The 23,341-nt window shown below is 38.3% G+C and overlaps 1 long non-coding RNA gene across 1 annotated transcript; it reads left to right on the top strand.

Annotated features, from left to right (window-relative positions):
* The first annotated feature begins 1,735 nt into the window (after window positions 1-1,735).
* LOC112268212 (uncharacterized) lies at window positions 1,736-6,147 on the top strand. Its single transcript, XR_002958210.1, has 3 exons — window positions 1,736-1,906; window positions 3,675-4,439; window positions 5,294-6,147. It is a non-coding gene; the product is annotated as an uncharacterized LOC112268212 (long non-coding RNA).
* Window positions 6,148-23,341: the final 17,194 nt, after the last annotated feature.

Below are 23,341 nucleotides of genomic sequence, written 5' to 3'. Positions count from 1 at the left end.
GATTGAAATATAGAAGTCATTTTCTTGTGGCTTTTGTCACCATTCCTAAAGGCACTTTGTCATAATCAAACTGACAACCTGCCTCCTTAGGAGCTTGTGGGTAGAGTTTCTCAGAGATGTGCTTAATTGAAATCACACTTGGAGATTCTATCTCCACTTTATAGTCTTAGGATTTGCTTTGTTTTTAAACTGGAGCAGAATAAAGGATGAATGGCTGGTATATTTGATGATACATAATCACATTAATACTTTATTGCCACATTTGTCAATATATTAGTGCAATATGTTATCATATACATTATTAACTGTTGCTGTTAAATGTTTTATACTGATCTTTTACATTTTTTATTTCGATTGTGATAAATTTGGATCCAAGGGATCTTTTTTCTTTCAGAACAAGGAGAAGCAAAAATATTTCATTAAAGGAACTTAGCAGGACTGAGCCCAGTCTTACAAACAAAGAACACCAGTATTTTCTTCACCCAGCCTTTTTACCTGCCCTTTCCTTTCTCTGCGACTGCAGGTATTAGCACTTAAAAAGTGGCAGATCCACTGGCTCTGCACAGAAGCAACCCGATAATTCCCATCTTTGGCAATATCTCTGTAGTTCATCGACAGAGGCTCCCACGTTGTGTGATGGTTGTGGGGTGGCCTTCAATAAACCCTGGATTTACAGCTAAGACGTCCTCATCCAGTGGAGTATTATTTCTAAATGTTATCTCTTGAAGTTGGGATTATGTTCTTAGATGTAATTATAGAGCGGTGTCATTCTTCCTGAGCAGAGGCCAAAAATTAAGGCTGATTTGACACGTTCCACTATCTTGTTTTGTGTTTTTTTTTTTTTTCCCTCATTTGGGGAGGTTAGAGGAGAAAATAAATGTTTAGAATTTGGATTTCTTTATGGTGACTTTCATATTTAAAAGATTACCAAGAGAGTGATGATTTCCTATCCTGAGTTTCTTCTTTGCCTCACAGAATATAAATTGCTTCCTACATTTCCAAGACTACCTGCATTTTACAGGATCTCTATATTCCTAAAAGATTTTGTGTAGCTAAATTTTTTGCATACATGAAATGAGTTTATAATTTAAAGAAATCATGTCATGTATCCTTTTGTAAAGCAAACAAAAATTACTTTTTAAAATAAATTATGATTTACATATATTAGATTTGATTAACATAAGACTCACAAAGCTTCTTGGCTATATATTAAAATTGGTCAATAGGAAGAATGGGAGATCAGTGGGCTGGGCACAGTGGCTCACGCCTGTAATCCCAGCACTTTAGGAGGCCAAGGCAGGCAGATTGCTTGAGATCAGGAGTTTGAGACCAGCCTGGCCAACATGGTGAAACCCCATTTCTACAAAAAAAATGCAAAAATTAGTCAGGCGTGGTGGCGGACATCTGCAGTCCCTGCTATTTGGGAGGCTGAGGCATAAGAATAGCTTGAACCCAGGAAGCAGAGGTTGTAGTGAGCTGAGATTGCACCGCTGCACACCAGCCTGGGTGACAGAGTGACGCTCTGTCAAAAAAAAAAAAAAAAAAAGAGAGAGAGAGAGACAGAGAAAGAGAAAAAAGAGAAAGAAAAAGAGAAGAAAAAGGAGATCTGGAAATTTCTTCCGGTATACTGTATAGAAACTAAGGTGTCATCACTTTGCCATTACAGATCATCACTGACTTCATAATGGTGTTATTGTTTTACCACTGAGGAAACTGAGGCTTACATTCTCTCAGTATTCTAAGCCTTACTTTACTCAGTTTTACGATAGAGTAGCAAACTAATAACCTCTAAAATCCTTTCTAGTTTTGATTTCTTTGGATTAGCTTCTCAAGGATACTTTCCAATCACTTCAAGCAGCAGTGCTGTGTCTCAGGCTGATATTCACTCTTCTTTATGATCACCAAGGTAATCAAATATAGATTTCTAACAATTTACTTTATTTCTTTGACCCACTGTTATAGACCCTTATAAAAAATATCTTTAGAGGATGTGTGAGCAAGGAGCTCTCCTGCCATTCTTCAGCATAGAAATCCTCCAAAACTAGGCCAGTTTGCCAATCCCAGAGTGGCACTCCAGTGATTTTTCCTACTGTTCAGTATATAGATTAAACGAAGGTTAAAATATGCATATTACACATTTCATATGTATAATAGCTTATATAAACATATGCTACTTATGTGATGTACCAAAATACATTCAGAGGGAAGAGAAAGAAAAGAAGCAGATCAGGCCCTCTATATCTGTGAAGTGAATTGGGTTAGTAGAAACAGCTTCCTGCTTAAGGGTCACGTGACTGTTCACTGAACACAATGAGGTTAACAGACATCAGAGAAACCAGTCTACTCTTACTGCAAAGACTTTTTTTTTTAAACAACTTGGAGAAAAAGCGGTCTGGATATAGTTTAATAAACTTCATAAATGTCAAAGTTTTACCCACGCATTATTAAAAATCTTAATTCCTTTTTATGAGCCCTATTACCCATTATTCTCAGAATTGTGTCTTTTATCAGAAGCATCATTAAAGTGTTAAGAAAAAAATTGCTTTTCTGAAGAACCCATCCATTTGTATAACGCTAAAACTGATGTTGATATTCGCCTGTCCTCTTGTCCCTTGATATGGTTTGGCTGTGTGTCCCCACCCAAATCTCATGTTGAATTGTAATCCCTAAGTGCCAAGGGAGGGGCCTGGTGGGAGGTGATTGGATCATGGGGGTGGATTTCCCACTTGCTGTTCTCATGATAGTAACTCAGTTCTCATGAGATCTGATGGTTTAAAAGTGTGTGGCAGTTCCCTGCTTGCTTTCTCTCTCTCCTGCTTCACCATGGTGAGACATGCTTGTTTTCCTTTCACCTTCTGCCATGATTGTAAGTTTCCTGACCCTCCCAGTCATGTTTCCTGTACAGCTTGCAGAACTGTCAGTCAATTAAACTTCTTTTCTTCATAAGTTACCAAGTCTCAGGCAGTTCTTTATAGCAGTGTGTAAATGGGCTAATACATCCCTCATTTTGAATATCACATTTCATCAGTTCATCACGACATTTCTTAATGTGTCTACTTTATATAAACTTGGATCTCAAGTTTTGAGGATTACTGCTATTCTTATTAATAGATGTTGATCCTATTTTAAGGATCAATGTCTATAATACTAATGAGATTGCCCATATGACAAGTTTATTGTTATTCCCATTTTGCAGATTAAAAAAAAAATCTCTTCTCATGGCAGTTAAGTGACTTGCTTAAGTTTAGTAACCAAAAGAGAGTAAAGCTAAATTTCAAACGCAGGTCCAAATGTCCCCAAACTCTGCAATCTGACACATCATAGAATCATCTTCTGTAGGAAATGTGGGGCTTTTAAGGCCAGGGGCCATGGTAGAGTCAGTGTTTCTTCAAGTGCCTGGCTTGATGTCGGGCATATAGCACTTTCAGTTAAGCATGGCCTCCAGACACACTGCCTGTTTCACGTCTTTCTCTGTCCTGTCTAAGCATGGCTTACACATCTCAGTCATTATCAAGCAATGACTGCCTCAACCTCCCCTTAGTCATCTCAATGCCCTTTTCTTAAAACTTCCCTAGTTACACCATGTTTATTTTGAGTACTGTGACTAGAACTGCAGGTGAGATCCAAGGAGATTCAGCACATCTTCATCTTAGCTTTGTGGTTTCTCTTTTCAGCACCTCACCAAAGGCAGAGGAAATGCTGACTTTACATTGACACAGACTTCAGAGAAACTTGACTGTTTAGTCAACAGGTTTGCCATAATGTGCACAGACCAATATTAGCAGCAAAATAAGAAAAAAAGGAAATGTTAAATAATTTATTATTTTATATTTTTGACTGCTATTCTATGTCATCTTCCTGGTAAACTAAATATTTCTTATTTTATTATTCTTTTCATGATGGAAAAGGTACCCATCTTGGCTTGTGTTAAAAAAAAATGGTTCACATGATTTTGAAGTTTGAAGGTAAATCTAGCATCAGGCATGATTTTGTCTAGAGGTCAAAAAGATAATGTCCGAGTTTCTTCTCTTCATTTCTTTAGCCTCAGTCTTTTTTAGTGTGTTTGACTCATTCTTTATAACTGCATATGATATCCTACAAGTGGCTGACTGCGGCCACAGAGGTGTTGGTGCTATTTCTGGGCCAAGGTGTGTATTGGATGTGGTCCCACCACACTCCTTGCTCTCTTGCCCCTCCCTCTGCCTGGGTGAAGCTAATAGAGAAGCCCTGAGGGATGGTGATACCACAAGCCGTCAAGAAACTCAGTTACTCAGTCATCAATGGAGGAAAACTTCAGGCTGACTAGCAACGCCTGCTTGAACGATTAAGACAGCAGGAGGCCGGGTGTGGTGGCTCATGCCTATAATCCCAGCATGTTGGGAGGCCGAGGTGAGTGGATCACCTGACATCAGGAGTTCAAGACCAGCCTGACCAACAAGGTAAAACCCTGTCTCTACTAAAAACACAAAAAATTAGCCTGGTGTGATGGCAGGTGCCTGTAGTCCCACCTACTCGGGAGGCTGAGACAGGAGAATTGCTTGAACCCAGGAGGCGGAGGTTGCAGTGAGCCAAGATCACACCACTGTACTCCAGCCTGGGCGACAGAGCAGGACTCTGTCTTAAAAAAAAAAAAAAAAGTTACAAGAAATAATCTTTAAATTATTATATATTTTAGAGTTTGTGTTATTATGTATGTTGCAGCTAACCGAATCCCAACAAACATTCTGGAATATATGGCCAACAGATAATTTCAGTTTACATTATTCATAAGGTCTACACAGATTATTATTATTATTATTCATAAGGTCCACACACAAAAAGGAGCATATTTTGGGATAACTTTTCCTGGAAATAGTGAAGGGGTATTAAAGATAAAAGGCATCTCTAATATACAAAAAGAATAGATGTTTTCAGAACTTGATTTGATTGGCATATAAACCAATATTGTGATTAAAGGAATGTCTTAAAATGTAGACTTTTGAGCCAAACCCTACAGATCCTGATTCAGATGGTTTGAGACGTGAATCTACATTTTAAAAATTCCCATGGGATATCTGAATACAAGTATCTAATTGATCAAAGTATAAGAAAAAAAAAAACTATTTTGACCAAAAAGGCCAATTCAGCAACTAGAGCTGGCATTTTGAGTTCTATTATTTCATTTTTTTGTCAAAAGAAAGTATAGTTAATCAGCAAAAATAACATTTAAAAAATCCTGTAATTAAGCTTAAGTATTAATTTGTAATATGAGTCACTACATAGAGTATATCAATACATGTCTTGCCCATAACAGATGACAATTGAATTGAATTCACTAAAGCTGGTTTGAACAAAGACATCCTTAACCCTGGCTGCACACTAGAATAATTTGAGGAGCTTTAGAAGCCACAGATACCTGGAGTCCCACGCCAGAGTTGACGTAAGTGGATGAAGTCACAGTCTAGACATTGAATTTTTAAAATATTCCTAAGTGATCTGAATGTGCAACCAGTGTTCAGAAACATTGGTTTAGGCCAGCGGTTCTCAAAATGTGATTCTGCCATCAGCATCTTGAGCATTACCTGGAAACTGATTAGAAATGCAAAGTCTCTGACTCCAGAACTGCTGAATCAAATATCCAAATATGGTTGCTCATCACAGTTATCTGGGGAGAATTTTGAAAATAGGTACTCCTCATCTTCACCATCAGTTCCAGTTTCTGATACAGAAAATGTGGGCAAGGTCAGGAAATGCCATTCTTCTCCTCCACCTGCTTCTTCTTCCTCAAGAATTCTAAAGATTTGACAGTTATGGGAGCCATGTTGAAAATATATATTTTGAAAAGAGTTGTAATTGAGGAAATCTGAATTTCAGTCCCGCCACTGTAGGTAACTGACCAAGAGACCTTGGACCAGGCACTTCTCCTGCCTCCCTTGAATCAAAGCTTCTATATCAACCACTGCTGACTCCCACACTTCCAGGGAAGTTCCAATGAACTTGAATGATGTTTGAAGCTTCAGAGCTCTATGTAAATGTGAAGTATTGCTATCAAGACATCTTAGAATGAAAGATAATATTTTCTTCTTTACTTTTACTCCTTAGAAGACTATTACCTACTAGTATGTCCCTTTTATTTCTTATTTAATAAAAAACCTACAGAAAGATAAATTGGACTCAGCTATCTTCATTTCCATAATTACTTACAGCTAAGCTTGGTCCTAGGAAGCTCATATTGTAACAATGCCTCTCAGTCTTTTCTCCCTCTCTCCTTTTCTCACCTCTCTTCTCTTTGTCTCTTTGTGTTCCAGACAGGGTCTCTCTTTCCACTCTCTTTCTTTCTCTTTTTTTTTATGATTAGTATTTAAGAATCAAAAAGTGGAAGTCAAGTTGTTGAGCTTTCTGAGACAGATGAGGCCAAGCCGTCCACTGGGAGCACTCAGCACCAGCGTCTTGCTGTAACCCAGCATATGGAGTCCAATCTCCAGGCACTGACATTAACACTCCTGCTTCAGGTAACTCATTTAGCTTTGGTGTCATTTTACAATAAATATACCATCCACTGACACAAATTAGACAGCTATTGAGATTAATTTTGAGGCACTATCGGCAACATCTTAAATCAAAAATGATTCTTTATTAGCATGCTTGGCGGTATAGTGTGCCTGCCCTCCCCCTCCTGATCCCTGCCACAAGAATAAATGAGGCCCCATGGTTGACATAGCGCATCAAGTGTTTTATAATAGTCTAATTGTAGCTAATGGTTTGTGCAGCTAATTAAGGCCCTATGAATTACAGTAATCAGTCAAGCTCATCCTTTAAACCAGATAGTTCTATTCAACCGTTCCTTCAGTAAGAAACAAAATATATAACTATATATGACTATAAGTACATAGGCACACACACAGACATCCAAACTGGCCATGCTGATCAGGTAGGTTTATTTGAGCACAAAGAAGTTAAAGGACTGATTTTGTTCCTTTTACTTATAAAAAAATATTTATTTCAAGAGACACAGGTTTTCATCAACAACTGCAGTTACCATGGGCAGGACAAAGGTGGAATCTTCAGTCTGGCATTTACCTGAAAACTGAGAATGGAGTTGGCACTAAGTGTAGCATATCTCCCCTCTTACCTCAGAGACTTCATGCAGGTTGCAGCTCAAGAGTGACTATTTGGCATTTATTATGTTGTAGGAATCCAAATGTCTGAGAGAAATGGTGACAAATAAGCCATCTGAATCCAATAGTTGAAAATTCAAAATGCACAAAACTCTATTTGCCACCTGGATAGTTGACAAAGCCTTCAACATGATTAGGTTCTTTTAGTGGCAGTAAGAATTTAGTGACCAATTCAGGGGCAATTAGAGGAATGGGATGGTTTGTCTTTTGTAATGAACTTTTTTTGAGAAAAAAATATCCTAAATAGAAGATGGATTACGTTACAAAAATCTCTCCAGAGGCCCAGATGGATATTCCATGTCTTGGTTTATTTAAAACCTGACTGGACATTGCAGGAAAGAACTTTGGAAGCAATTCCGTAAAGCCCCTGGGGAACAGAAGAAGGGAGCAATAGGTCTTTTCCAGCACTTGTATTTTTGATTCTTTGAGAAAGAGAAAAATCCATAGAAATGTCATCAGCATGACCTCTGCTGGAACAACATGTGCCCCAGTCCCCCAGGGTCCCATTGCCAATGAGAAGTAGGAAAAGAAACAGGGATTTTCATGAAGGTCACATGTTTCCATTTTTTCCAGCTCACAGAGCTGGTTAGTACCTTGCAAGATCAACCAGTTCTTTACCTCATTTTTAGACAAGATTAGATTTAACTACCCCACATAGACGATTGCAGAACCATTTCCATTATATAAAATATGTTTCTGTGGCATAAGCTAATGGTATATTCTCACTTCCGGAAACTACTTCCTTCTATCTGGTCAAAATTTTCTTACTGTAATGGAGGGTCATTTCTTTATAATTTTATAGGAAATGAGTCAGTATCCCTTATAAGTCTGTGCCACTCTTTTTCATTTGCCAGGTCAAATTATTCTTGTCTCATTAAATTACCCCTGCAGGTCTTATTAGCTCATCATTGTGATGTAGTGGAAAGCTCACTGGTCAAGAAAAGTAAGTGCTACCTGCCTTTTAAACTAGTCAGTGTTAGTAATTTATTACAACTCTCATTATTTATATCTATAGGTGGAAACCATGTATCTTCTTTCTAAAGAATCCAACTATTAAGTGTAGAGCTTTCTTTATTTTTGAAGTAGGTTGATCTGCTTAACAAATATCAGTGTTAGCTGTTCATAAAATGTTGTTTGTTATTTATGTATTTTTATTTATATTTCTGCAAGGCTACTAATATGCTTTTCATGGTCGTCCATGATGGCATTATAAGTGTTCTTTTTATCTATTAAATACACTTGTGAAGCATTAGCTTCATGTTGACATTTGATTATACACACTTCAAGGCTTTCTGTGACGTTTTCTCCCTTGAAGATGACCAGATGTTATAGGAAATCAGATTGATGAAGATAAAGAGTGTTATTTCCCTGGCTCTCATGCTACCTTTTCTCCCTCCTTCTTCTGTTCTTTCCATATTTTCCCTGACCTGTCACAGAATGGTCCCTGTACTCTTTATGGGGTTATTAACCCAGGTCATTTTTAGCTTGTTTTGACCCAGGTAATTTTGAAATAGATGTTTCCGGTTCAAGCCAAAAAAAAAAAAAAAAAAAAAAAAAAAAGCCTATCCATACTTGGGATGCTGGTTGAACAGGGTCTTGAGCTTTATTTACACTGTACCAAAACAGACAGTTGATAAGTGCTCTTCCTCACCTGCTGTTTGCCTTCTTCTGCAGGATAGCGTCTATAGTCCTTTCAGCATGTAAAATGACTTTACCAGTCCTTCTGGACACAACCAATATTGCTATTTTATCCTGTTGGGTTTTGGCCATACAGGGGAGTAGACATTCTGTTCCTACCACGTTTTACATTCTAAATTTCAAGCATCTCAAAAGTAAGGACAATAATGCATAAGTAATTCCATTAACCCACCACGGTGCTCACTCATTCCCATAAAGGTATGAAGTACAAAATATAGCTTTGGCAGCTAAAGAAATGTCAGTTCTAGCTAAAGTGTTTACGTTATCTGCATAGCTGGAGCTCTAGAGCATTCCTCTTGGATAGACATACACCTATCTAAAAATGCAGACCTGGGCCAACTGAAACTCAAAGGTCCCTTCAGCTTCACAGACCTACTCCACACATCCACTAAATAAGGGCAACAAAACCCCAATTGCTCACAAATAGCTGAATGCAGAGTCCAGCCAGCTGCTTTTAGTTGACTTAGTATTATTTTTCTCGTTTTGTTTGATCCCGCTCCAGAAAGTGGACACTATATTAATCGTATTTATAAATACTGTATGTACCAGTTGCAGAGCCACAGGGCTCATTTAAAAAGAAAGATTAAACACATAAATTATTATAATAAATTAAGCTGTCAAATTTATTACTCCCAGCACCCAGAGTATCTAAAAAGACCTTGGTCGAAATCAAGGGATAATATGGAAAACAATGGACCACCAGAAACACCAACACATCATCGAAATGTTTCGGAAAAATCATCTGATATGTGGATCCCTCTTCAAGATGGTTCAAGGCCTCTTGGTAATAGAGAAAACACAGCATTTCCTCTTACGCATTCTATACTTCTTCAGCTTCCACCTACTGCAGTTATCCAGTTGTCTCAGCATTTAAAGATGTGGGCTTTGATTGCCTATATGAGCAATCCAAGAAGGATGGATTCACCATTCCTACTGCCTATGCCCAGAACAAATTCAAAAGAATCACTACCTTGCTTTGTTCAGTGTGCCAAGGAGCTCTAATTCCTGTGGCCCAAGACTCATTTATTTATGTTAATTTTGACAACTAGGCCTGGGGGTAGGTTAACAGCATTGTTGGGGCTAAAATGCAAGCCAACTGTGGATAAGAAGAACATGCATGATACAACTCTAGATTGTGTTGTGGAGAGAAATAGGTGTTCAGAGAAGGAGGCAGAGAGTATAGATTACAGTCATCCACTGCTTTTCAGCAGCCAATCTCAGCTTCTGCAGCCCTGGTGTCACATGAATATCCAGGAAGAAGGATCTGCACACCTTGGATCAGTTCTCTAAATCCAGCATGTTCTCTCTTCTCAATTCTAGATACTATCTATCTTTCAGGATTCTGTGTAAGTCTGGATTTCACCAGGAAGCATCCTTAAGGAACACCAGATTATGTCACCTCTTCTGTTTCTGAAGAGGAAAGTCTCTTATTGTGCTGATCATTTTGAAATTTAATCACATGCACCCTTTTATTTGTTTATCACCTAGGTTATGATTTGTGTAGGCTAATGTAGAAATTAATCCCCACCTCTAGAATATATACCAGGAGACACTGATGAAGGCAAGAAGCCTAAGAAAATTTTACAAAAAAAATTAAGGCAATATTTTACAAAATAAAACAGATGAAAAAAATAAATAAATAAAATAGATGATTTGAGGATGAGAAAATGCAGTAAGGGGTAATAAACTGAATTTATCTCAATTGCTCTGGAAAGGTTAGCTTATCAACCAAGGAATTCAATTTACAGGTTATTTGAAAGCTGACTTAATTTAGCTTTTACAAATTCTTTCCTAAAGAAAACTATACTGAAAATGAGTATGATAATGTAGCTAATTATGACATTAATTTTCATTTTGAGAAGTAGTGAAGCCATTGTAAAACAGAGACTCTAGAGCCAGGTGGTCCAGGTTTGTCTCTGAGCGCTGGCAATTAGAAGCTGTGTGACCTTGGGAACGCTACTTAACTCTTCTGTGTCTCTTTCCTCATACATAAAAATACCGATAATGTCAGTATCTATTTCATAACAGTGTTATGATAATTACATGGTAAAATTCTAAGACTATTATCTGGCACATAATCTCAATATAAGTCTAAGCTGTTAATACTTTTTTACATAGCTGAATGATCTTGGGTATTAATATACATTAGAAAAGTCTCATGTATAAAGTGGGCTGGATGATAGTGAATTACAACCTAGATCTGAGTTATATTTCACATTTTTCTGAGGATATATTGGCCCCAAGATGTGTTGTATTATTTTTGTGGGATGGGAAGTAGAAGTACAAAATTTGAACCATTTTCCAGGATTGCAGAAATAGAATTGGAAGTTTAAAAGAGAATTTCATAATATATTTAATAAAATGATAAAACATTATAACTTTCCATTATCATTCACTATCTACAAAATTGTAATTAGTGTTTGTTAAAATCACAAAAGTGACAAAACCACTTATGTGCCAAATTAAATCAAATTGTTGGAGACTAGAATTAAATTTATTTTGATGTGATTTGGATGAAGACCATAGTAGTAATCAGTTTTGTTCTATGGCCATGTTTTCAGTTCTCTGCTATTTGGACTTGTTTAAAGGAAGTGCAGTCACCTTTTGATGTTACAGGAAAAAAATAGAATTTTAATAACTGATTTAATAACTATGCCTCTCAAGTGCTTCATTTCATTCATAAAATTGAAAGTTATGGTAACTAAAATTATAGTTACTCCAGTGCAGTAGTCAGTTCCTAACTAATCAGATATTATATGTCAAATCTCCCTTCAATCACTTGTCATGTTTGTTATAACTTCCCTCCTGTTTCCAAAAATATGTTTTGGAGATACTTCTGTAGGAGTCAGTTGGTCAGTTTTTGTACAGAAAGGACAATACCATCTGCAGTAGGAAGACACTCTTGCAATGTGATACGATTACCATTTCCACATTTTCTCAACCATACACTGGAACGGATGAATCTATCTATGTCTATATCTAGATATTTAAAGACGTCAGAGAACAGATTACTTGAAATAGACTCTGTATCCCAAAGTGTGGCATCATGCTCATCATAGAGTATGTAGTCTGTTGATGGATAAGTTATAAAGAGTAGCTAAAGACAGACAATCAAAAAGAGCATATCAAGAAGATCAATCTCCTCTTCTCTCTTCCTCACCATCTTGACTTTATGTAAGGACAGGAAGGTCCCTGTCCCATTCCAGCCCTCTCAGCCTCTATCATATTTGTAGATCCAGGCTAACCCAGATGGATGTTCCTCCCCTCTCTTCAGACGTTATTTGTATTATCAATGAGTGTGCCACTCAAAATCAACTCCCAAGTAACCGCTGCACAAATGCCATGAATTTTTAACTTCTGATTGAGAAATATCACTATTGTCAAAGTAGGAGAGGGAAATGGCACATTCTAACAGTTGCTTATTGGTTTAGGCCAGGCGAAATCTTCCAACATGAGTGGTTCCTCCTTTATGTGTCTATACATCATTGTTTTCTTCAATACTTGGGAGGGAGTTTCCCAAGTATTGGCGAAAACAGAGGCATCCACTGTGGCAACTGTTGCACTGACTGTAGTACATAAAGACTGTCATAGGCCGATGGAGATGCATGCTCATTTCTTGTGTTTGATTGTATGTAAAATTAATCTGATTTGCTGAAGGGAGGACAGGAATTCCTTCTATGGTCGAAGATGTTTATTGGCTTGCACACAATCCTTTGATACTGGAAGAGGGAAACAAAGTTCTCTAGATTTACTGTGTTGACTTTCTTGAGAGGAAAATTTACAACTATATTGGAATTTCTATTCCCTAGAATAACATTTCTCTCTTCCTTCCTCTCTCCCTTCCTCCATCCCTCCATCTGTCCATCCATCTGTCCCTCCGTCCCTCCCTTTGGCCCTCCCTCTCTCCCTTCTTCCTTCCTTCATTCCTTCTTTTCTTTCTCTTTAAGGACTGTTATACTTTTAAAAATTTTTCCTAAGATGAGATTTCTAGTGTTTTTGGCTTCCATTTTAAATGAATTATTCATGAGCTGTCTTGGTAAATATATTAGGCAGGCTACCCAAACTTACAGTGAAATTTTAAATTTTGTTAATACACCAACCTGCCCCACAACCCATCCTCTCATGTCTAATGGGTGAGCATTCACTTTAGGAACTTAGGTGTGCTGTCCAGACTTAGGGCTTTTAGTTGTCTTTCTATTGTTTATATATTTTGGCTTAGTGTGATTTTTAACAGAAACTCTAGTCTTCTAACTGTCTACTTGTAAGCTTTGGTGAAAATTATTCCAACTTCTTCGTTTCTACCCAACAACCATCCATTCTCTAAGAAATGTTGGCCACAGGCAAGACTGGAAAGTCAGTATTCTCCCCTGTTCACATCATTTTGAGTCCCTATGATGTTGCACCCTTGGGTGTTCAGTGCAGTGTACTCTTCCTCTTACCATATCTTCTGCTATGAAGAAAAGAGATACTAGCAACAATTGCACTTCCTTGTCAATGTAAGTTAATGTTTTTCTATAGCGTTGTGTGTCCCCAGACTAATGAACTGTTTTCCACAGGTGAGGGGGAGAGAGGGAGAGGGAGAGAGGGAGAAAGAGAGAGAGAGAGAGAGGGAGAAAGAGAGGGAGAAAGAGAGGGAGAAAGAGAGGGAGAAAGAGAGGGAGAAAGAGAGGGAGAAAGAGAGGGAGAGGGAGAAAGAGAGGGAGAGAGGGAGAGAGGGAGAAAGAGGGAGAGAGGGAGAAAAGAGAGAAAGAGGGACAAGGAGAAAAAGAGGGGGAGAGGGGGAGAGAAGGAAAGAAAGAGGGAGAGAGAAGGAAAGAAAGAGGGAGAGTGAAGGAAAGAAAGAGGGAGAAAGAGAAAGAGAGAGAGAGAAGGAAAGAGAGAGAAAGAAAAAGCAAGCAACCAAGCAAGCAAGCGGGGGAAACTGTACTACTTTGATTAAACATCAACTATTCATCAGAAACTATGCTATAAACCTCATAGAGTCAACTTTCCCTATTTGTGAGCTCTGCATTCATGGATTCAACCAACTGTAGGTAAAAAATACTCAAAAATTTATGTGTATACTGAGCTTATAGACTCTTTCTGGTCATCATTCCCTAAATAATACAGTGTAACAACTATTTACACAGCATTTACATTGTATTAGGTATTATGAGTAGTGTAGAGATTAAAGTATATGGGAGGATGTGCATAGGTTATCTGCACATACTCTGCCATTTCTTATCAGGCTCTTGAGCATCTGCAGATCTTGGTGTCTGTGAGAAGATCTGCAACCAAATCCCCATGGATACCAAGGGACAACTGCATTTGCTAAACCATTTATTTTCACAGAAAATCTATAATGTATTATTATTGGAACCACTTTTTAGATGATAAAAATGGAACCTTAGAAAGTATTGTTCTTCATTTAAAGATTCAGACAAGAGCCAGAATTTGAACCAGTTATGTAGGGCCATATGCCTTTGAAAACTCACCATGGAGCGCAAGACTCCATTTCAAGGAAATGCTCCCTTGTATTCCACTTGCAGATAATGCACTGCTTTGTTTTCTAGAATTTTCCATTACATTGTCTCTTTCTTACTTGGAGTTTCCATAGCACTAAGAGTCTGTGCCACAAAAATTACAGTTTTACTGTATGTTGCCATATGTCATAGTAATGGTTTTATTTGGATCTAGCAACTTTCTAACAAGACTGTAAGTTATTTCTAAGAACCACCTACCTTGCCTTTGAAAATATACTCAAACCACCTGGGCTAGTGATCTGTGCGTGGAAAATGTTTTATAAATCCTATTGACCTTCTGATAGTTGGTTAGATATAATGAGATGAGGTTAGTTTCCCAAACAGTGTGGAGGAAAATGAGAAAAATGAGAAACAGTTCCTATGACAGGCTTCTTATTTGGGGTATCTGTGAAGTCCCTAACTGGTATTTGATATTCGTCTTCCTTACAGGCTGTATATTAAAGCAGCTAATCAGGAAAATCTTTTTAACTACCCAATTTGTAAATGATACCTCCTGACACTACACTGTGCAGTTCTAGGGATTCACTGTGAGTCAGGGATTTGCAAACTTTACCCCTGAACTGTACAGTGCAGGGATGGCCCTGTCAACACCCATTCCTCCCTTTCTTAGTCAATTTTGTGCTGTTATAACAGAATACCTGAGACTGAATAACTTATAAAGAAAATAAACTCATTTCATATAATTCTGGAAGTCAGGAAGTTCACAATCAAGGGGTCCATATCTGGTGAGGACCTTCATGCTGTCATCTCATGGTAGAAGGTGGAACTAGAGTGTTTATGCAGGAGAAAAAGTGAGAGAGAGAGAGAGAGAGAGAGAGAGCGGGGGGAAGGGGGCCAAACTCATCTTTATTTTTGTCAGAAAACCACTCCCGATAAAGGCATTAATTATTCAGGAGGGTGTGGCCTAATCCCCTCTTTCAGGTCCCACCTCTCAACAATGTTGCATTGGTATTAAGCACATAAACTTTGGGGAACACATTCAAACCATAGCACTCCCTGATGATGATCAAAAGTAGTTTATGGAGACAAGTCTATTGTTTGTAAGAGGATAACAGAATAGTAGGGATCTAGTGATTTCTTTACACCTATGTGGCATAACCAAGTTCTGCCTTTGATTCTGCCAGCTGGGATGCTGTTTCACTTATGTCCTGACTGAAGATAGTTCTTGCACAGGATAGTTTGGATGACTCGTAGAAGTAGATGACTCATCTACTACTTCTGTTCATAGTAGATGAACAGAAAAACTGTGCTGAGATTATCATAAAACTTTTTCATTTTTGTGGGAAGATAAATGGTGGCATGTGGCTTGCCATTTCATACTTTAGAGACGCCAGGTGACATTGTTGACCAATCAGAGCTCCTCTTTCTTCTGAGACTTTTCCATCATACACTCAAGGCAGCCACTTTCAATTATTCATCATTATGGCAGCTTCTTAAGTTGTAGAGCTGTTCTCTAAAGGATAAGGTGACCACAAAAGGCACAGTATATAAAGGCTTGCATCTCCCTCACCCATTAAGATATTAACATCAGGGAGCATATATGAGTGGATATAGTACAAAAGCTGGGGCTATAGGAAACATGCCTGGAAGTGTTCAGATGCCTGTCAGTGCCTAGAGGTGCCAAGTATTATGGTAAGTTCAGGGAACAGAAGGAAGAACAGGTTGATTCTTGCACACAAGAGGTCACCATGTGGTGAATGAGAGACTCATACCAGGTAATTTAGGTGACATAGCAAGTGCTGTGACAGGGTGTACAGAGATTATAGAAGAGAAGACAATTAGACTCTACCTGGATTGGATGAAGCAAACTCAGGAATTTTCTTGGACTTAATCCTCCAACTACCCCCAAATGTGATTAAAGTGAGAAAGAAGCCAAACATCCTGAGAAGGACGTTCCAGATAGAATTCTAGGCAAAGGCTAGGAGGTGTTTAGGCACAACAAGAAGCTTGTTACTATTCAGCTTTGGCTGGCATATCCTGGATGTAAGGCTGGCAGCTGGATCTTATTTCTGGACTGCAGGTCTGGAGAATAATTGAAGCTCAATTTAGGATGCATGATAAAAGATGTCAAGACCAAAGCAAAAGCCTAACCTTATGAACTGAACCAAAATAAAACAATGGCTTACAAGGGGTGTGAGAGTTAGAATTTGAAGTCCACTGAGGACAAGCCCCTGACCTGACTGGCAAGGAAGCAGATTTGAAAAGAGAACTAGACCAGTAGTTATAACTAAAGTGAGGGGTCTTAACTAAGTCCCATTAGAGGATTTCCTGAGACAGTTTAGTTTGGATCAGTGATTCGAAGTGTCTCAGTTCACAGGTGGTAGGTGTTAGTTGTGAGAAGCTGGGGAAGGTATACATTTGGGGATGAACTTTTCCATTCTTCTGTGAGTTTTACAGGAGTCTTAGAAATATCAAGACCTTGTTTTTCTAACCTTAACTATTTGCAGTATTAGATTTTAATTCTAGAGATGTTATCATGAGAGTGATTGTAGCAACTGGCAATGGTAGATTTTAAGGTCTTTAATTTCAGATCCATAAACCTCAGTTGGCAATTTAGATGGTTGTGAACCTCTTAAAAATGTATTCAAATTGCTTGCATTCTTTCATCTTTTTAGGTAGAAGGTTGCTAAGATTTTATCAGAAGATCCATAAGATCCAATATCTTATCGGTTTTTCATTTGTTTGTTTGTTTTTGAGACAGACTCTTGCTCTGTTGCCCAGGTACAATCTTGACTCACTGCAACCTCCACTTCCTTGGTTCAAGTGATTCTCTTGTCTCAGCCTCCTGAGTAGCTGGGATTACAAGCATGCACCACCACATCTGGCTATTTTTTTTTGTATTTTTAATAGAGATGGTGTTTCACCATGTTGGCTAAGCTGGTCTCGAACTTCTGACCACAAGTGATTTGCCTGCCTCAGCCTTCCAAAGTGCTGGGATTAGAGGAGTGAGCCACCATGCCCAGTTTATCAGCTCTTTAAGGAAGTCTATGGTCGCAAAATGTTTGAAATTCACTGGAGTAGACCATAAAATGTCTCATGGGTTGCCAGAGGTCATACCCACTTTTCCTTATGAGACACAACACAGTTAAAGTGAAAGCAAAGATAAATGTGTTAGTATTAAATAGTCTGTGATCACATCTTTTATTTCCCTGGCTATTATGCTTTTCTTTAACATGTCAGAGCACTGTGGAAGCACGGTAGACTCCAACACCACCTTTACTGTTTCTAGAGCACATGGCAAATTCTTATCAAGAGAATATTTGCTATATGTACTGCATTGATACTACACCTGATTGTTTCTCTCCAGATGGAAATTGACTTCAGGATTCACAGTTCAGCTAATTGGGAAGAGGACTAAGGCAGGTGGTTATAACATAGAACTAATGTCCCAAACTCAATACAAATCTCAAATATTTTATGCCCTGGGAACCAGAATGCTCTATCTGGAATTCTGTTCAAGGTGCTAGAAGGACAAAGAAGCTTCCATTTGAAATTCTGTTTGGAATATCTGTGCTTATATTGTCCTCATTGTTCTTTCATATTAAAAAAAAACCTTCCCCAAAATTACTTCAGCTAGATTCCAAAAATAACCTAGCTGGTTGTATAACTTCTAGAGCAGGCAAAGAAAATATGCCTCTCCTTAGTGTCCTCCATACAGGGCAGGCCTCTAACTAAAGATGCTGTTCTCGGGAGTGTTATTTCTGGTACCTTTCCCATTTTCTGTGACATTTCAGGGAATATTTGGAATTCTACTTTTAAAAAGGCTGTCTTTCCCTCATATAGTAGAGAGCTAGTCTTTTTTATAATCTATAATCAAGGCAAAAATTGGGAAAACCATATTCTTGTTCTCATGGGAGAAACTGTGTTTCCTTATTAACAGAATATTTTTGAGAGTTCCTGGAATACCCAGTCTTGATCAGATTTCCCTTATCAGTTTCTAAGGCCATGAGCATCTCCAGGTAATAGGTGTTAAAAGAGAGTTTGGAAACAAGGACTCCCATCTCTCGGGCTGTTACCGCATATCTGGTCAGGTCTGAGAAAAAGTGAAGGTTTTCTAATGATCCTGAATATGCCTACTTGAGATTAATTCAAATGCAGTTAAAAGGTATTGCCTTGCTATTAGTAGGAAACATATTCACAAATGGCTTTATTATTATCATTTAAGGAGACATGGAAGGCCTCCATGGAATAGAAACTTTTAGTGCTAATCTCTATTTGGTATTCTCTTCTTCCAAAAACACTAGAGGACTCATGTCTGATACCACCCCACATATTATTTGGGTGGAACCATGTGGCTAGCTCTGGCCAGTGGGTTGTAGGTAGACCTGATGCGTGTCACTTCCCAGCCAGATTGTGTAGTTGCCCCTGTCAGACCCTTTTTGCCAAAGCAATTATGGAAGGACTTGTTGATATCACAGTGCCAGCAGGAGAAGGACACTGCCCTGCAGAGTGGCCCAGAACACAGCACACTTCTCATGGGTCAAAAAATAAACTTTTGTGGTATTTAGGCACTGAACTTTTTGTCTGCAGGATAAGCCCAACCTGACCACAACAAGGAAAGAGATGTTGTGATGTATAGTTTACGAAAGGATTTTGATAGTTGATAGAAGTAGGAACATTTTTAAAAGATAAACTGTATTAAAAAAACAAAAGTGGAAAGTGTGGTTTTTATTGGGGACAAAGTGAATAATTAATGTTGACTGGAATATAATGAGGAGTAGATAAGACAGAAGAAAGTTAGAATGTTAATACTGGATTTCTACTGAATCCTGTAATCAACAGATAATCATCTGTTTTGAGATAAATTTTAGGAAGAATTAAAGTTGGAGGATACTGGAAGAAAAATTGAGGAATTTTTGAAGAATAAAGGTAAGAATAATAACACCTATAGCATCTTAGATATAGGGAAAAATAGAAAATGTATTTGAAGAAAAAAACAATTTACAATGGATTGTAGGGATAAGGGAGAATTTGTGTCTCAAGAAACAACGATGAAGGCCCAGGTTATAACACAGGCACTTTGTTATTTAAATAGGCTTTGTGTGCCAGTCTAAGCAGCTAATGTTGCGTCAATGGAAAATTGCCCTCTGAGTTCCAAGGAAATAACTTATTTTGGAGTACAACCTGTTTCTACAATGGCACTGACCTCTCTAGAAAAGATGGATGTTATATATCCCTAAGCCCTCACTTTGTCTCAGCCAGTCCTTGTGATATTGACCCATATTATCATTGGGACAATCTCAGCATAGCCCAGGTCAACTCAAGTGATTCAAGTCTGCTTTTCTGGAGGGCAGACGCCTGGCTTCCATATATAGTTAGCATGTGCATGGAGTAAACATACAGATCTTCTCTAATTTGCAAATACTAAGAAAACAAAAGAGAAGGAGATTGCTGTAAAATATAGAAAGAGTAAAAGCTCTTCTAGAGCCATAATATAGCTAAGGTTTAAAAGAATTTAGGAGACAATAAGAATTTATGGTCAAGAATAACAAAATTTGGAGATAAGTGTATCTGGTTTTGAGTTCCTGAACTGCCACTACAAGCTTTCAGCATAACTCAGTTTTTCTCTTAGAAAACATAATCCACCTTGTAGGCTTGTTATGGTCATTTAATGGGAAGTTGCGGGCAAAGTCCTTAGCACAGTATATTCTCAAAGTAGCTGCTGGAGTGATTTGGTTAAATGTATGTCATGTTGTTGCCTGCTCCAAATATTCCACTTGCCTAGCAATGACCTTTGGGTCCTGATATGACCTGGGCCCCCATTATCCCTTGGACCTCACTCTGATCACCCTTGCCCTCACTCACTGAGTCCCCACCACTCTGATTGCTTGCTGTCCCTTCACCACACCAAGCTGCTTTTCACCCAGGCTTCCCCACCGGGTCTTACCTTAACCTGCATAATCCACTCTGTAAGCTCCTTTCAAAACTTTGTTCAAACGCCCCTCTGCAGTGAGGTCCTGCTTCCCTCCCTATCTTGGTTAAGCCAACCCTTCCCCATATACTCCACAATTCCTTCTTTACTTCCCTCACTCTTTCACCTTGTAACACATCTCTAATTTACTTATTTATTTTTTTGTATGTCTTTCCTTAATAGACTATATGTACTATGAGGGTAGATTGTGGTCTCCATTATTCATCAATGTGGAAGAGTGTCTAGCACATTCTAAATACATAATAAATGTTTGCTGAATAAATGAATTTTTATAATTAAAACAAAAATGAAATGTACTCCCAAAATCAGTACAGTCTTTTCTATCTAGTGCTTTGTTGTATTGACTAAGTCACTTAAGTATTTCTGGCTTCCCCCAGCCATAGTCTCTGATTCACCACACATCTCCTAAGCATGTAGATTAGAGTAGACAGCACTTGTCCTGGTGTATATAAACAGATAAAAATAAAATAAACATGCATTCCAGGATTCCAATCTAGTTGAAAAGGAATAACACTTGAAGAGCACAAAGCAGATAAATGCAAGAGTAGAGATAAAAATTATGAAATTTTAGATATTTCCAGTTCCTTCTGCCTTTCCCACATAGCCTTCTCAATGCAAAAGTCTTCATTGGATAGTAATCCTAATAAATTCTTATATAGCTCTTACCATCTGCCAAGCATTGCTTTAGCTCTTTTCATGGATTAACTCTCTTAATCCTGACAATAACCATGGAGAAGTACTATTGTTACCCCCATTTTACAGAGGAAATAGGAAAGTTGAGCATTTTGCTCTACATACTTAGTAAACGATGAAACTGGTCTATAATCCCAGGCAGTGGTCCTGCAGACTGTGCTGTTAATTGCATTGCACTAGGCATATAAATAAAATAGTCTTTCTATATGTGAGTCAGGCGAGGCATAAGTGAATGTTTCTCAATTGAGTCCTAAGTGGACATTTGCCCTTCCCTCTGCCATCATTATGGGAGAAAATGACTGAGTTTAAAGTGATATGAAATAAGATGCCTAGAAAGAAAGAGCAATCTATAAGACAGGACAAGACCTGGTCTAAGGGTCAGAGGACTTGACTCCTTGGGGGTATCACTAAGTAGCTGTCACCTTGGTCGGATACTTCAGCATCTCTAGGCCTTTATTTTCTCATTATATAAAAGTGCTGCTTTTGGAAGCAGTGACTCTCATGGTCTCCCATAGAATACAATCTATGACTCTATAATACCACCAGACAAGGTCTGTGTTGTTTGGCAGCTAGCAGCATTAATTTGAGAGCAATAGGGAATATGGCTAAAGGATGGAGTTATCCCTATTTCACTTTAAACTCAGATCAACCTCTCTGGAGGAATTTAAGAATTGGATATATATGGGAACAAACATGATCAGGCATAACAGCTTTGGAATTACATCCTATTGGGGAAGTATCAAGAGACTAGGAACAGCCAGAACAAAGACAATGAGAAAATTAACCCTGCACTGACTCCTTGTCAATGGAGATAACCAATTGTTCTTAGAAACAAGTTTCAAATGCATCACTGTTTTAATGAGCTCTGACTGCACCCCCTCCTCCTTGCCATTAGTCAATTTTCATTGGCTTAGAACCACCCACCTTTAAGAACAATGAGGCATCAAGTCACTCTCATTTTTTTAAAAAATGCAATTCTTGATGGATATTTTAAGAGTCAAGGTAAAGTCAAACGTCGTGAACAGAAGGGTCTTATCATTATAACGTTTGTCACCAGCTGGAGAGAAATCAGGGCTGGAGCCTCTGTTAGCTGTGAAAGAAATGTTTGCAGGTGTGGCACCAGCTCAGTATGTGCTCACAGCGACTACTATGGAAAACTTGGAAACAGATCCTGGAAGGGGCAGGAAAGGGTTGGATCAGCTCCAGTGTCTGAGCTGCTTGTCAGTAAGCTTAAGAAGGAAGTCTGTTGCTGCTGTGAGTGGGGAGAAGGGGAAGGACTCAGCAGGATGCTACCAGGGGCAAACACTGGAAAAGAGGGCAGTGGGCCTAGCTAAGTATAAAAAGGTACAATAGCAAACTAAAGCATGTCAGCGTGAGCACATCAGGTATTCTCAAAGCTTGGAGGCGTACGCCCTTTCAGAAAATTTTCTTTTGATTGAGACTGCAGGTCCAGTCACAAGAGAAAATATTGAGGGTAAAAGACTGTGCTTTTCTTATATCTTTAGAAAGGTGTATGGGACTGTGTATCCATAAAGGTGTATGATTCTGTAATTTTTGTAATCAAGTAGAAGTTTTATAACAATCATTAATATTAAATTTCAATAAATAAAAATGACTTTTTAAGAAGATAGTGACTCTGTTTCCCTACCCCTCAAATGTGAGAAGGACTAGGCAGGCTAAACTGAAACATCAGTCGGGATGTGTGTGTGTGTCCCCAGAAGTCCCCAGGCCATGTCTTGGATTCAGAGAACTACTGCTATGGCATCTGATTAGGTGCACGGACCCTCTCTTCCAGGATGAATCCCAGTGACAGCTTAGCTCTTGTCCCACTTCATCCTTCATGAGATGGGTAGGAGGACACAAAGTGGCTGAATAAATTAATCAGACAATGTTGTAGAATTACCTCCAGGACCCACCAGAATGGAGGTGTCCCTCTTAACACCTTAATAATAAACTCCACAAGACCATCCCAAATGCTGTTTACTTCTTTATGCCTAATGCCCCAAACAAGTGATTATTCAATAACTAATTATGTGTTGAATGAATGAGTCAGAGAATAATTACCTTATGTATCAGTCTTTGTTGAAAAAAATAATGCAAACATTGTCTTCTACCAGTGTTACGTATCTGTTCCATTAGACTTGAATAGTGTTATTTTTGGCCTCCTTTTTAACTGCCCCACAATTTCTAATTCACTTTTCCTACTATCTCTCTCCCTTCTACCACTTCACTTCTATTGTCTGAAGAGGAATAGTGAGAGAAAAAGAAGGAAAAAAGCTTCACCTTCACCCCTGGAACATTCATATTTATTATTATACAAGGCAAGTTGATGTTGAATA

Source organism: Homo sapiens, chromosome 18, assembly GCF_000001405.40.
Source record: "Homo sapiens chromosome 18, GRCh38.p14 Primary Assembly".
NCBI classification, from domain to species: Eukaryota; Metazoa; Chordata; class Mammalia; order Primates; family Hominidae; genus Homo; species Homo sapiens.
The sequence above is the reverse complement of the archived record's forward strand: the minus strand, read 5'-3'. Positions and strand labels throughout refer to the sequence as shown.